The sequence below is a fragment of the Homo sapiens genome, chromosome 3 (assembly GCF_000001405.40).
Source record: "Homo sapiens chromosome 3, GRCh38.p14 Primary Assembly".
In the NCBI taxonomy this organism is placed as follows: domain Eukaryota; kingdom Metazoa; phylum Chordata; class Mammalia; order Primates; family Hominidae; genus Homo; species Homo sapiens.
In genome coordinates, this window is record NC_000003.12 from 105,284,504 (window position 1) to 105,300,258 (window position 15,755).

Consider the following 15,755-nt stretch of genomic DNA (forward strand, 5'->3'; position numbering starts at 1 on the left):
ATTACTTCATAAATACTTCCTTTAGTCTCTCAGTCATTTCAAAAATAGAATGTAAGAAGCATACAAAATAGTTGAGACAAAGTCACAAAGATATAATTTTGAATAAGCATCAGCATTGGCTGAACACTTCAGAAAACAATTGTTGATGATATGCACACTTAGCCTTTTCATTCCAAGGGCATGAAAGAAAATGGAGAGCAGTTGAGGAAATGGCTAGACAATGCCTAATATAATAACTAAAAAACTAATCCCTGGATATTTTGAATTAGCCAAATAATAGCCAACACAGATACAGAGAGAAAAATCCTGCACACTCGACTTTCTAAATTTGCATCAAATTATAAAATTTGGAAACAACAGCTTGTTAATTTATCAGAAAGGAGCTTATATTTAAATAAATCTTCTACATTTAAAGATGAGAAAAATGAGAGTCAATGCTGTTATTAGGTTGGTAACATAGCTACATTTTCTGTCTCTCTCTCTCTCTCTCTCTCTCTCTTTCTCTCTCTCTCTACCTAGCTCTCTAAATTGGTTACTCACCATAACCATGGGATAAAAACAAATCGATTACTCATAAAAAGGACAATTTTTGTATGGTATTCAGATTAGTCATGAATATCTTGCAGGCATCTTCATCAAATAACAGGCAATATCAAGAAGCTTAGAGAGGGTAACTGAGTTGCCTAAGATCACACAGCCAATAAGAAATTATATCCGGTGTTCTTCACTGTTGTTTTAAGTGTGAGTAGAGTCTTCAATAGTTTACCAAGATTTGAATATCAAATCAATGTTGGTGAATAGGATACAAATTACATGAGATAAATCAAAGACCATTATTTTTGTAAACTCTGAAAAGAACTACAGATAACTACAAATAGAGTGTGTATATTTCATGTGGCCCAGTGGTTTAATTAAAAAAAGAATTTTAAATAGTTTGAAGATGTCATATCTTAATCAGCTGAAGAGCTATGCATAGACAAATATCAAAGTATAAGGAAAAATCTGGACTATAATTGAAATATTTCCTTGTTTTTCCATCATACTGCTTCACACTTACACTACAATGAAGCAACTTGGTTTCAACTGAATACTTAAACTCCTCAACAAATAGTTTAATTTTTGGATTAAATTTCAATTGTGCATATCATAGATTTCTATAAATTTTATATAATTTCTCAAGTTCACTATGAATATCTTCTATGTGCCAGACATTGTGCTGGAGACTGGCATATTGGACAATATTTAAGCTATGATGGCACTGCTGTATTATTTGACCTGCTCTGGGCCACTTTGAATGAATTTATCAGAATTCTATGACAAGAAAATGAAAAGAACAAATCATAGCTGACAGTAATAAAACATGCCTGAGCTTTGATTGATTACACTCACAGTCATACACAAAAGAGGCTTTCCTTCAATGTTCACTATGAGGACATTAATAAAAAATATAATGCAGGGATGGTCAATTCTAGACTGCTGCCAAAATATAAAGAAACAGGTAATTATTTTCCAGGTATTGGCCAACCATCATTACTCATCCTTTTCTTCCCAGGCAAGCATTACATTTATGTCTACCTTTTGGTGTTTGGAAATATTCTTTGTAGTTATATGTGTTCTTCAAAAGGTCTGAATTCATGTTTGGTAGAACAAATCTTGCATGAACTACATAGGTCCAGCGATTTAGATTTCTTAGGATTCTCTTCCTCCTCAATCACACTCCTTCATTTTCTACCCAATACTCTCTAGTGCAGCGCTTACCAAACCTCAGTGTACATCAAAATCCTAAGGAAAGTTTGTTAAAATACAGATTTGGGAGCCTTTCTCAAAAATTTTGAGACATTAGGTTAGAGAAGAGAATCAAGAAGCTGCATTTCCTACAAGTAATACTGACGCTGCCCGTCTACCAACCAGACCTTGAGTAGCAATACTCCAGTGGCTTGCTACAGAAAGTGTGCTCTGCAGACCAACAGCATCACCATCACCTCAAAGTTTGTTAGAAATGCAGAATTTTGGCTCAACCATAGATCTACAAAATGCTTTCCTCAGGCAGAGTCATTGGGTGAAATTATACACCCATAGGATATAATGTCATTGCTAGTAGACAGAAAGCATAGACCCTTTAATCTTCTAGGACCTATGCTCAGTTTACTTGCCTATGGGTTAGGCCTGTGTTTGCTTGTGGCAGTTTGCAAATGTAGCCACAATACTTGTAGCCACTGCCATAAAGGGATGAAGTCTGTATCCTTGTTTCTTGAATCTGGACAGGCCATGTCATTTGTTTTGATCCACAGAATGCACTGAAATTGGCACTAGGAAAATACAAACCAAGGCTTTAAGAAACCTAGCAGCGTCTTCTCTTGATGTTCTAGGGACTTCTGCTACTGGCATCATATGAAAAAAGCTCAGGCTAGCCTGCAGAATGATAAGGCACATGTGACCCACTGTTACCCTAATCCACAGTCTGCCAAGCCCAGAAGAAGAATTGCCTATTTGACTGGCAGCTGACTACAGTTACATGAGTGAATCTAGTAAGGTCAGCAGAAGAACTGCACAGCGGAACCCAGACAATAATAGCCATGCTACAAAATTGTGAGCTAAATATATGGTTGTTGGTTTGAGTCACTAAGATTTGAGGTGGTTTGTATATAGAAAAAGATACTGATATTTGCTTCCCCTTAATAATTTCCTTCAAGACCTATGAAGACTAATAAAAAGAGAATTATGATAGAGCAGGCTCTGAGGTTTCTCCTGTTATTAATTGCTTGGCTCTATTTTCTTCCACTAGGTGAGAAATAATCATTGAGAATAGATCAAAAACCAAATTGTAATTTTTTAGCAAATAAAAGAAGCAAACAGCAATCCAAAAAATTCAAAAAAACCTGTCTTACTTTTATAAATCACATATAGGAAAAATATTGAATGTTGAATGTGTTCTTGCAGGATATAGAAGAATTCATTTGGGAAATCAAAGTCAATCGTCAAGAAGGAGCCTCAGGAGTGGCTGTTATAGGCACTCACAACCTCTATTTCCTTGGATCTCTATGGCACCAAGGGCTTGCAAGCGTTTCCTGATATATTCAGATTGATTTGGCAAAGTTTTAGCCTCACGGTCTGGACATATTTCTCTTATAAGATAGTACAAATATAAAAAGATGCCAAATTTTCTCAGATAAATTCCTTGTTATTAGCCAAATTACTACTAAGATTTTATTAAAATTGTCTTCAATTAGAAAAGCTAACATTTGAGTGCATTTAGTAATATAAGCAGTAGGAAATAAGAAAAAATTACTAAACAGTAATAACAATGGGAAATTTCACTAAGAAAATTTTGCAAAAAAAATCTGAAGCTACTAAAATTAAATCAGGATAAAACTTGCACAAAAAGAGACAAATCTATGTATAAAATTAAAGCCTGTAAACAGACCCTGTTTTATATGAGAATTGAACATTTGATGAAGGACAAATCAGTAAATTCTATCACATATTAAATCTATTATGAAGCTATACTTATCTAATAATGTAGTGTTGATGCTTAAGTAGACAGAACAATGGAAAACAATATAGTTCATTATAAGACACAATTTACTATATGTTAAATGAAGCTGGCATCCCATATAAGTGGAAAACAGATAACTTGATCATTAAGGAGTGCTTGGTTAAATGTGTAAAAAAAATTAAGTTATAATCTATCATACCTTATACACAAAATATATATCCATATGATCAAAGTTTAAATCTTAATTAAAAAGTTAATTATATATAACAAAAAACTGGAAAAATTCTATTATTGATTGAAAATGACATTCTAATGTATAACAATGAAACCAGAAACGAGTAAAGAAAAAAAATGATATAATAAGCTACAATAATAAACAAAAAATATGCTTGACAAAACTTAGCTTAAGTAAAATTAAAAGAAGAAAAGGGTAATTCTTGAAAAATATAGAAAAAAACTTCCCACAAAAAATAAAAGTGGTTTTAAACATATGTAAAGATGTTAAAATCTCATTCATAGTAAAATAAATGCAAAATAAAACAAGATATTTATTTTGTTTAGACAGATGAAGATCAAAAATGTTGTTACTCAGGGAATAAACAGTAACAGGGGAAAGTAAACCAGTATTCCCTTACAGAGGGCAATTTGAAAATATCAGTCAAAATTACAATCCATACAACATTTTACTCAGCATTTCAACTTTTAAAAAGTATTCCTTCAGCTATAATTGCATGTGAACAAAGTGATATATTTAGGTTTATAATTAAAGACTTATTTGAAATGATAAAGGAATCTAAATAGAATATATGTTTGTCAATAAAGGACTGGATAAGTAAGTTGGGATATTATGAAGCTATTATAATAAATTAGACAGTTCAGATGAAATGGATATGGAATTATTACCAAGATGTACATTTTTAAGTGGAAAACAAATTGAGGTCCATAACAGCTTGTGTAGTATGCTATCAACTTCAATTTTCAAATAACATATATGTACTGAATAAATTTGCATACAATTAAATAAAAACATGCAAATAAAAATGGTAAGAATGGTTGTGGTGCAAAAGAAAGGTGAAAAATTGGAGAACATGAATAGGTGGAAGACTTCATTTCCAACATTAATTCTTTTTAATTTTTTAAATATAAGTATCTATTTGTAGACATTATCATTACTAATAATAATTTGAAACAAATTCATATAAAAGTATTTAAATGTGGTCCTAGAGCTATTTGTTAGTTACTTGGAAAAATGCATTTTAGAGCTTCAATTTATACCTAATCAAAATAAATGCCAGGTGGCTGGTAAATTATGGGAAAACAAATAAATAAAGTTCAAATTTTTAGAAAAAAATACATATTCATGTAAGCTATAAAAGAGAATAAAACTTTCTAATTTTAAAAATAATATCAAATTACATGAAATTACCACTAGATTTGACAACATTGAAAAGTCTATTTATATTTAAAAAGAATAACAGTTAAATGAAGAACAAATATGAAAGTTTGCAGCAGATGTGTTAACTGTGTTTAATACCCTTGATGAATGAAAAGCTTATATGAGTTTCTGAAGAAAAAAATCAGGATACAAATTGATTACTAGAAAAATGAATCCAAATGTACTATTCATTAATAAAGAAAATCCATTATATGAAAAAATTCACATGAATTTGTAGTCAAAGAAATGAAAATTAAGGCAATAACAAATTCTCCAATTAAATTAACAAAGATATTTAAAATGTGATGCATTTGAAATCAAATTAACCCTAAAACACTGCTGGTATATATGTATATATATATATATTTTTTTTTCTATTATTTTAAGTTCTGGGATACATGTGCAGGACATGCAGATTTGTTACACAGGTAAACATGTGCCATGGTGGTTTGCTGCACCTATCAACCTATCACCTAGGTATTAAGCCCCACATGCATTAGCTATTTATCCTGATGCTCTCCCTCCCCTGCACTCCCCATCTGGACAGGCCCCCGTGTGTGTGTTGTTCCCCTCCCTGTGTCCATGTGTTCTCATTGTTCAGCTCCCACTGATAAATGCGAACATGCAGTGTTTGATTTTATGTTACCGTGTAATGGCTTCTCACTCCCTCCATGTCCCTGCAAAGGACACAATCTTGTTCCTTCTTATGGCTGCATAGTATTCCATGGTGTATATGTACCACATTTGCTTTATCCTTTCTATCATTGATGGGCATCTGGGTTGATTCCATGTCTTTGCTTTTGTGAATATTGCTGTAATAAACGTACATATGCATGTATCTTTATAATAGAATGATGTGTGTTCCTTTGACTATATGCCCAGTAATGAGATTGCTGGGTCAAATGGTATTCCTGGGCTATTCCCGTTAAACTACTATTAATATTCTTCACAGAATTATAAAAAACTACTTTAAAATTTATATGGAACCAAAAAAGAGCTCGTATAGCCAAGACAATTCTAAGCAAAAAGAACAAAGCTGGAGGCATCATGTTACCTAACTTCAAACTATGCTACAAGGCTACAGTAACTAAAGCAGCATGGTACAGATACAAAAACAGTCACACAGACTAATGGAACAGAAGAGAGATCTCAAAAATAAGACCACACATCTACAACCATCTGATCTTCGACAAACCTGACAAAAAACAAGTAATGGGGAAAGGATTCCCTATTTAATAAGTGGTGCTGGGAGAACCAGGCAGCCATATGCAGAAAATTGAAACTGGACCCCTTCCTGACACCTTATACAAAAATTAAATCAAGATTTACTTAAATGTAAAACACAAAATTATAAAAACCCTAGAAGAAAATCTGGTATATATATTTTTAAAGAAAATGATCAGCAAATGTATAACAACTTTGACAAAACCTTTTTTTATGAATATTTTCTTGTGACGTAAACTAATAGCTTAATAAGGACTTACACACACAAATATTCAGAGTAATTTTATTTATATTCTGAAACTGGAAACAATGTAATACCTGTTAAATGAATTACTATGGGTTTTCAGGTAATTAGGGAATTGGGATTTGAAGTTGGTTAGGGCAAAATCAAGCCAACGTTTCTCTATCAAATTGCTTTACTGCCAAAAGCAGAGGATACAAAAATCAGAAAGACAAGTCTACTAGCACGTAACCTTGGATCAGAAAAATAGTGAGACTGAGTTGGTGCAACCTAACCTAAAGCAGTCAAATGTTTTTAAAACTATCAAGATCATTTTCTAAGTTTTACAGGGTTAACACATAATGTTCTTATCTGTAAGTGATCACTCACACAGAGACACTCAACTTTTCCTAAAATTCGCAAATTATGGTTTTAATATCTCAGTAGTTAACAACAAATTTTTCAACTCGATTTTTTCTGATAATGAACATTCATCATTTTCTGATCCAACTAATCGTTGTTTAAGTTAGAAGTCAGCTATCCCAATTATGTAGTATATGTGAAATGGAATATCATACAGACATTACATATTAAGTTTGTTGAGGGGGTTCATAACAATTAAAAATGTGATTGTGTAAAAAGCAGGATACATGGCATCAGTAAAGACAATTTATTTTTTTAAAAGGACACTAAAAATAGCAGTGGCTACCTGTGGGTGGCAAGGATTATAATTTACCACATAGACAACTTTATGAAATACTCATATAATTTTAAAAATAAAATATGTTTAATTTTCATGGTTCGTTGTGAGACTTTTTAGTAACAACACAGAATCAGCCAATTGGGAACACTTTGGGAAAACCATAAAAGAAGCAATGGAGATGTTAGCTACGGTTCTATTTTATAACCCCAGCTCCTTCTCCTGACTTTCCACTATTCTTCCAAGAACTTAAACTCCCTGTTTGCTTTAACTCCTTCTTCTGTTTGCCTTGCACATCTTTCCCTCCACAACTCTCCGCTATTTCCTGTTCCATTGTTGATCAGTTAATTCTGTTGTTTTATTTTTCTTTGCTTTTTCCAAGTGACAATCAGAAGTCAGTTTCCTAATCTGAAGTCCAAGTTAATCTTGCATTCACTTTTTTTTCATGTTTCCAGGCTATATTTTCAAGAAATATTTTTATGGTTAAAAATTTTAGGATTAATGGGAGACATTTCTTTAATTATAAAAACCATGCTTACCCCTACATTGCCTTTTTTCCCTGATTTTGGAATACTTACAAGCAAGATGTTGGCCCTGTAGAACATCCTCATTAGCGTATTACCCTTCTCTCATATTTTCCTGCTCTTTGGCATTTTCACCTATGTTATGAGAGATTTCCTTCGTTTTAACTTCCAGATTACCAGTTTGGTCATTAGCCCTAATCAGTCTATTATTGCATCTATTCATTAATTGTATTTTTAATATTGGTAACCAAATTTTTAATTTCAAAGACCTCTTTATATTTTCTGCTTCATTCTCATTGCAGTCTTTTCTAGTTTTACTACTGAAATACATTCTCAAATCTCCCAGATGATTTTAAGTTCTCTCCTACCTCTTCCAAGGAATTACTTGAATATTCTTATTTATGCTATGAATATTCCCCAAGAGTTTGTTCATACTGATGCATCAAGGGCTGTTAATGGGAATAGATAGATGGCACATATTTCATTTAGAGTTGTGTACGTCTATTTCCTTAACAGGACTCACTCATAAATGGTAAAGCTGACAGCACTAGGTTTTCCTCTTGGGCAACCTTGGAAATAATAGCTCACACCTCTAATGCTTCAGGTTATTGTGTTTCCTGAATGGTTTTCCCTACTGGTTCTGTATTCCAAATTCTATTTTCCAAGATTTCTACTGTCTTCTGGCTTCCTTTCTTTTTTTTAGTAATTTGGGCTTTATTATTTTTCTTAATTTATATATTTTTCCAACGGGAGTTTGAAGGAAGATGAGATATATGAGTGTTCTCCAACTCGCATCCTTATAGTTCTATGTAACCTTTTAAAGTTTCTAATCACATTCTGCTTTGTATTACCTTTATGTACAAATATGTGATGTAGCATATCATAAGTTCCTTGATTCTTCTGGATCATTATGCATTAGTCACAACACCTGACAGAACACTATTTTTTTAGTTTGTATTAAGCAAATACTAATTGCCAGATTCTATCTCTAAAATATTTTTATACGTGTTTCTCTCACTTCACTCTCCGTACGATAGTCAAACGTTGTTCACCTCTTTCTTGTGATGTATATACAGCCAACGACTGTTCCCAACACTTCCAATCTCTCCTCCTTTCAGTCCACATTGCTACCAAAGTTAATCATCCTGAAACTGAACCCTGATTATATTATTTCTGTGCTCCAAAGTCTCCAATAGCCTATGATATTAATTCCAGAAACTTAGCCTAACATACAAAATTCTCCATTATTTAAGTACAACACAGTTTTCCAGCTTAGGTTATTAAAATTGCCTTACAGCTTGCCTTGCTAATAGGCCAAGCACTTTCGTCTTTTTAAACATCTCGCACCTCTCCTGTCTCACCCATTCTTACATATTCCAAATCCTGTCCAGCTTTCAAGTGGAGCTCAAGTGCCACCACCTCCACAAAACTTTTTTTCTTTCCAGTTATCTTTGCTTTCTCTGAATCTATATAACTACTTAACAGTACTATTGTTATAAAACTTCCTTTTTTAAATTTTTAATGTATCTATTTTATAGTCATTCCCAGAAAGCAGGCTTATTGAAGATAAAATCTGAGTCATTATTTGTGTAACCTGTCATAACAGTTAACACAGGAACTTGTGGGGCAAAAAACATTTTTTCATTAAAAATAACAATAAAATCAGATATCAAGTACTCACATTAATAAATGGAACAGCTCTGCTAGAAGTTATTAAAATCCAGGTAGTTCAAACTTTATTAATTATCAGCTTTCAAATTATTCACTCCTTACTCTTAAGAAGCATTACAAAATAAACTGATCTTCTTTCGAATTAAAAAAAGGATTTTTAGAGACACATGATAGGATCCTAGAATGCAGTTTCTCATTATTCACAGTTAAATGCATCTCTGGCCATTCATGTGCTTCTTTTCTCCTAACAAACACAAACAGTCAAAATATATCATCCAAAACAAAATTTCATTCAGAAGCTGATGTTTATATAAAATACATATACTATAAAAGTTCCTAGCATAATCCCTGGCACATACTGCTCAATAACTATTGAATTGACAATGAATGGGAATTCTTGGGAGAATGTTCTTCACTTTGAAGGAAAACAACATATTTAAAAACACACATTTGCACAAATGATAAAGTTTAAAGTTATTTCAAAAAAAGTTATCCTATGAATATTATTTATACATATCAATTATTCAAGGCATGATGAAATTTGTCAAATAATGATATAACTAAAATTTTATAGAGCACAGCATACAAAATGAGATATAATTTATACTGAAAACTTATTTCAAGAACAGAACATGGTAAATTTCACTATGCCTGGGGCATGGAAAGCTACAAAAGAACAATGTTGCTCCTCTAATAAGAAAAAAGAGCAGGATTCTCTCTATCATCAAAACTATTCTTGAGCCCATCAGAGAGTTGAGATTGCAAGCCAACTACATGAATCAAATTTCAAGGTTGGCGAATCCCTGTAAGCAGTGATATAACATAGGAAGTTTTCTTTTCACAGAATGTGGAAAGAAGAGGTAGTAACCATGAAAAATGGGTAAGAAAAAACTGCTGAAATTATAATGATTATATAAGAGTGAAGCATGGTTAGCATGAAAGTTTACAATGCCTATAAGCCTCAGAAGTTTGCACCTACTCACCAGCTCTTTTCCAGAATCCACAGGACGTTCGTAAGAAAGGTTAGGGACAGAGCCAAAGGCCAGAGAAAGGCTTTCTCAGTGGCACACAGGCACAAAATCTCACCTGCTTTCCAGTCTCTTCTCTCAAAAAAAGCAAAAGCATAGACTGCTGCTGGAAAGACAGGAAATCCTTTCAACTCCTGGGAACAAGGGAAATATTTGCTGCTTTTGAGGGAGGAGTATAAGCAAGAGCCAATTGCAACTGAGGAAAGAGCTGAAAGATCTGCTACTGGTCCCACCCGAAGGTATGCTTCCTGTGAAGGAGGAATAGAAGGAAAAGCCTCTACTACTGCAGAAGGATAGGAAACTGCTTGGGTCAAGGATTCCGCATAGATACAAAGCAGAGTGCCACTAATGTTAGGAAAGGGGTAGAAAATTTGTTCCTGTGCAAGGCCTTCCATGATGCAAAACAGAGTTCAGCTGCTATAGGGGTTGAAGAGGAGAGAGAATGTGCAAAAATGTTGACAATGTGTTAACCCTTAAGTCCAAGAATACAGTGACAGCCTAAGACCAAGACTTGACTGAGAAACTTTTGCATCACTACCATGGGCCTCAGAACAAATGATTAAGAAGCAACAACAGCACTATTCACAATAGTAAAGACATGGAATCAACCTAAATGCCAATCAATGACAGACGGGATAGAGAAAATGTGGTACATATACGCCATGGAATACTGTGCAGCCATAAAAAGGGACAAGGTCATGTCCTTTGCAGGGACATGAATGGAGTTGTAGGCCATTATCCTTAGCAAACTAACACAGGAACAGAAAACCAAATACTACATGTTCTCATTTCTAAGTGGGAGCTGAACAATGAGAACACATGGACACATGAAGGGGAAAAATCCACACTGGGGCCCACCAGAGGGCAGAGGGTAGGAGGAGAAAGAGGCTCAGAAAAAATGACTAATGGATACTAGGCTTAATATATGTGTGATGAAATAATCTGTACAACAAACCCCCATGATACACGGTTACCTATGTAATAAACCTGCACATTCTACACATAGATGCCTGAACTTAAAAGTTAAAAAAAAGCAACAACAATCTGCCACTTGCAAAGGTATGCTGATTTCCAGGCAAATGCTATATCCTTTGTTATATCTTTTATCCTTTTTTTTTTTTTTTTTACAAAAAAGGTGACATACAGTCAATAACTGTGAAACACACACCAAAAAAAAAAAAAGAAAGAAAAATTACTCATTCCTACAAAAAAACAACAGAACCAAACCAAGAAACTATGCAAACATTGGAACTATCAAACAGAAGTGTTAAAATAACTGCAAAGGACACTTTAAAACATCTAGTTGGGGGAGGACAACATGTATGAACAGAGAGGTAATTTCCATAGAGACATAGGAACTATAAACAAAGCCACTTGAAAATTCTAGGTATCATGATATCAGAGGTAAAGAATTCCTCTAATGGGAGAAGCCAAGATGGCCGAATAGGAACAGCTCCGGTATACAGCACCCAGCGTGAGCCACGCAGAAGACGGGTGATTTCTGCATTTCCATCTGAGGTACCGGGTTCATCTCACTAGGGAGTGCCAGACAGCGGGCGCAGGTCAGTGGGTGCGCGCACCGTGCACGAGCCAAAGCAGGGCGAGGCATTGCCTCACTCAGGAAGTGCAAGGGGTCAGGGAGTTCCCTTTCCTAGTCAAAGAAAGGGGTGACAGACGGCACCTGGAAAATCGGGTCCCTCCCACCCAAATACTGCGCTTTTCCGACGGGCTTAAAAAACGGCGCATCAGATTATATCCCGCACCTGGCTCGGAGGGACCTACGCCCACCGAGTCTCGCTGATTGCTAGCACAGCAATCTGAGATCAAACTGCAAGGCGGCAGCCAGGCTGGGGGAGGGGCGCCCGCCATTGCCCAGGCTTGCTTAGGTAAACAAAGCAGCCTGGAAGCTCCAACTGGGTGGAGCCCACCACAGCTCAAGGAGGCCTGCCTGCCTCTGTAGGCTCCACCTCTGGGGGCAGAGCACAGACAAACAAAAAGACAACAGTAACCTCTGCAGACTTAAATGTCCCTGTCTGACAGCTTTGAAGAGAGCAGCCATTCTCCCAGCACGCAGCTGGAGATCTGAGAACGGGCAGACTGCCTCCTCAAGTGGGTCCCTGACCCCTGACCCCTGAGCAGCCTAACTGGGAGGCACCCCCCAGCAGGGGCAGACTGACACCTCACACGGCCAGGTACTCCAACAGACCTGCAGCTGAGGGTTGTGTCTGTTAGAAGGAAAACTAACAAACAGAAAGGACATCCACACCAAAAACCCAGCTGTATATCACCATCATCAAAGACCAAAAGTAGAAAAAACCACAAAGATGGGGAAAAAACAGAGCAGAAAAACTGGAAACTCTAAAAAGCAGAGTGCCTCTCCTCCTCCAAAGGAACTCAGTTCCTCACCAGCAACAGAACAAAGCTGGATGGAGAATGACTTTGACGAGCTGAGAGAAGAAGGCTTCAGACAATTAAATTACTCCGAGCTATGGGAGGACATTCAAACCAAAGGCAAAGAAGTTGAAAACTTTGAAAAAAATTTAGAAGAATGTATAACTAGAATAACCAATACAGAGAAGTGCTTAAAGGAGCTGATGGAGCTGAAAACCAAGGCTCGAGAACTACGTGAAGAATGCAGAAGCCTCAGGAGCCGATGTGATCAACTGGAAGAAAGGGTATCAGCAATGGAAGATGAAACGAATGAAATGAAGCGATAAGGGAAGTTTAGAGAAAACAGAATAAAAAGAAATGAGCAAAGCCTCCAAGAAATATGGGACTATGTGAAAAGACCAAATCTTTGTCTGATTGGTGTACCTGAAAGTGACGGGGAGAATGGAACCAAGTTGGAAAACACTCTGCAGGATATTATCCAGGAGAACTTCCCCAATCTAGCAAGGCAGGCCAACATTCAGATTCAGGAAATACAGAGAACGCCAGAAAGATACTCCTTGAGAAGAGCAACTCCAAGACACATAATTGTCAGATTCACCAAAGTTGAAATGAAGGAAAAAATGTTAAGGGCAGCCAGAGAGAAAGGTCGGGTTACCCTCAAAGGGAAGCCCATCAGACTAAGAGCAGATCTCTCGGCAGAAACTCTACAAGCCAGAAGAGAGTGGGGGCCAATATTCAACATTCTTAAAGAAAAGAATTTTCAACCCAGAATTTCATATCCAGCCAAACTAAGCTTCATAAGTGAAGGAGAAATTAAATACTTTACAGACAAGCAAATGCTGAGAGATTTTGTCACCACCAGGCCTGCCCTAAAAGAGCTCCTGAAGGAAGCGCTAAACATGGAAAGGAACAACCGGTACCAGCCGCTGCAAAATCATGCCAAAATGTAAAGACCATCGAGACTAGGAAGAAACTGCATCAGCTAACGAGCAAAATAACCAGCTAACATCATAATGACAGGATCAAATTCACACATAACAATATTAACTTTAAATGTAAATGGACTAAATGCTCCAATTAAAAGACACAGACTGGCGAGTTGGATAAAGAGTCAAGACCCATCAGTGTGCTGTATTCAGGAAACCCATCTCACGTGCAGAGACACACATAGGCTCAAAATAAAAGGATGGAGGAAGATCTACCAAGCAAATGGAAAACAAAAAAAGGCAGGGGTTGCAATCCTAGTCTCTGATAAAATAGACTTTAAACCAACAAAGATCAAAAGAGACAAAGAAGGCCATTACATAATGGTAAAGGGATCAATTCAACAAGAAGAGCTAACTATCCTAAATATATATGCACCCAATACAGGAGCACCCAGATTCATAAAGCAAGTCCTGAGTGACCTACAAAGAGACTTAGACTCCCACACATTAATAATGGGAGACTTTAACACCCCACTGTCAACATTAGACAGATCAACGAGACAGAAAGTCAATAAGGATACCCAGAAATTGAACTCAGCTCTGCACCAAGCGAACCTAATAGACATCTACAGAACTCTCCACCCCAAATCAACAGACTATACATTTTTTTCAGCACCACACCACACCTATTACAAAATCGACCACATGGTTGGAAGTAAAGCTCTCCTCAGCAAATGTAAAAGAACAGAGATTATAACAAACTATCTCTCAGACCACAGTGCAATCAAACTAGAACTCAGGATTAAGAATATCACTCAAAACTGCTCAACTACATGGAAACTGAACAACCTGCTCCTGAATGACTACTGGGTACATGACGAAATGAAGGCAGAAATAAAGATGTTCTTTGAAACCAACGAGAACAAAGACACAACATACCAGAATCTCTGGGATGCATTCAAAGCAGTGTGTAGAGGGAAATTTATAGCACTAAATGCCCACAAGAGAAAGCAGGAAAGATCCAAAATTGACACCCTAACATCACAATTAAAGGAACTAGAAAAGCAAGAGCAAACACATTCAAAAGCTGGCAGAAGGCAAGAAATAACTAAAATCAGAGCAGAACTGAAGGAAATAGAGACACAAAAAACCCTTCAAAAAATTAATGAATCCAGGAGCTGGTTTTTTGAAAGGATCAACAAAATTGATAGACCGCTAGCAAGACTAATAAACAAAAAAAGAGAGAAGAATCAAATAGACGCAATAAAAAATGATAAAGGGGATATCACCTCCGATCCCACAGAAATAGAAACTACCATCAGAGAATACTACAAACACCTCTACACAAATAAACTAGAAAATCTAGAAGAAATGGATAAATTTCTGGACACATACACTCTCCCAAGACTAAACCAGGAAGAAGTTGAATCTCTGAATAGACCAATAACAGGATCTGAAATTGTGGCAATAATCAATAGCTTACCAACCAAAAAGAGTCCAGGACCAGATGGATTCACAGCCGAATTCTACCAGAGTTACAAGGAGGAACTGGTACCATTCCTTCTGAAACTATTCCAATCAATAGAAAAAGAGGGAATCCTCCCTAACTCATTTTATGAGGCCAGCATCATCCTGATACCAAAGCCGGGCAGAGACACAACCAAAAAAGAGAATTTTAGACCAATATCCTTGATGAACATTGATGCAAAATTCCTCAATAAAATACTGGCAAACCGAGTCCAGCAGCACATCAAAAAGCTTATCCACCATGATCAAGTGGGCTTCATCCCTGGGATGCCAGGCTGGTTCAATATACGCAAATCAATAAATGTAATCCAGCATATAAACAGAACCAAAGACAAAAACCACATGATTATCTCAATAGATGCAGAAAAGACCTTTGACAACATTCAACAACCCTTCATGCTAAAAACTCTCAATAAATTAGGTATTGATGGGATGTATTTCAAAATAATAAGAGCTATCTGTGACAGAGCCACAGCCAATATCATACTGAGTGGGCAAAAACTGGAAGCATTCCCTTTGAAAACTGGCACAAGATAGGAATGCCCTCTCTCACCACTCCTATTCAACATAGTGTTGGAAGTTCTGGCCAGGGCAATTAGGCAGGAGAAGGAAA

The 15,755-nt window shown here is 36.0% G+C and overlaps 1 annotated feature.

Annotated features, from left to right (window-relative positions):
• Positions 12,004-12,633: an enhancer, noted in NCBI's record as "H3K27ac-H3K4me1 hESC enhancer chr3:105015351-105015980 (GRCh37/hg19 assembly coordinates)". NCBI's record gives its function as "activates a minimal SCP1, AML or CMV promoter by ChIP-STARR-seq in naive and primed H9 embryonic stem cells {active_cell/tissue: H9 hESC(naive and primed)}" and the evidence as "EXISTENCE:reporter gene assay evidence [ECO:0000049][PMID:30033119]".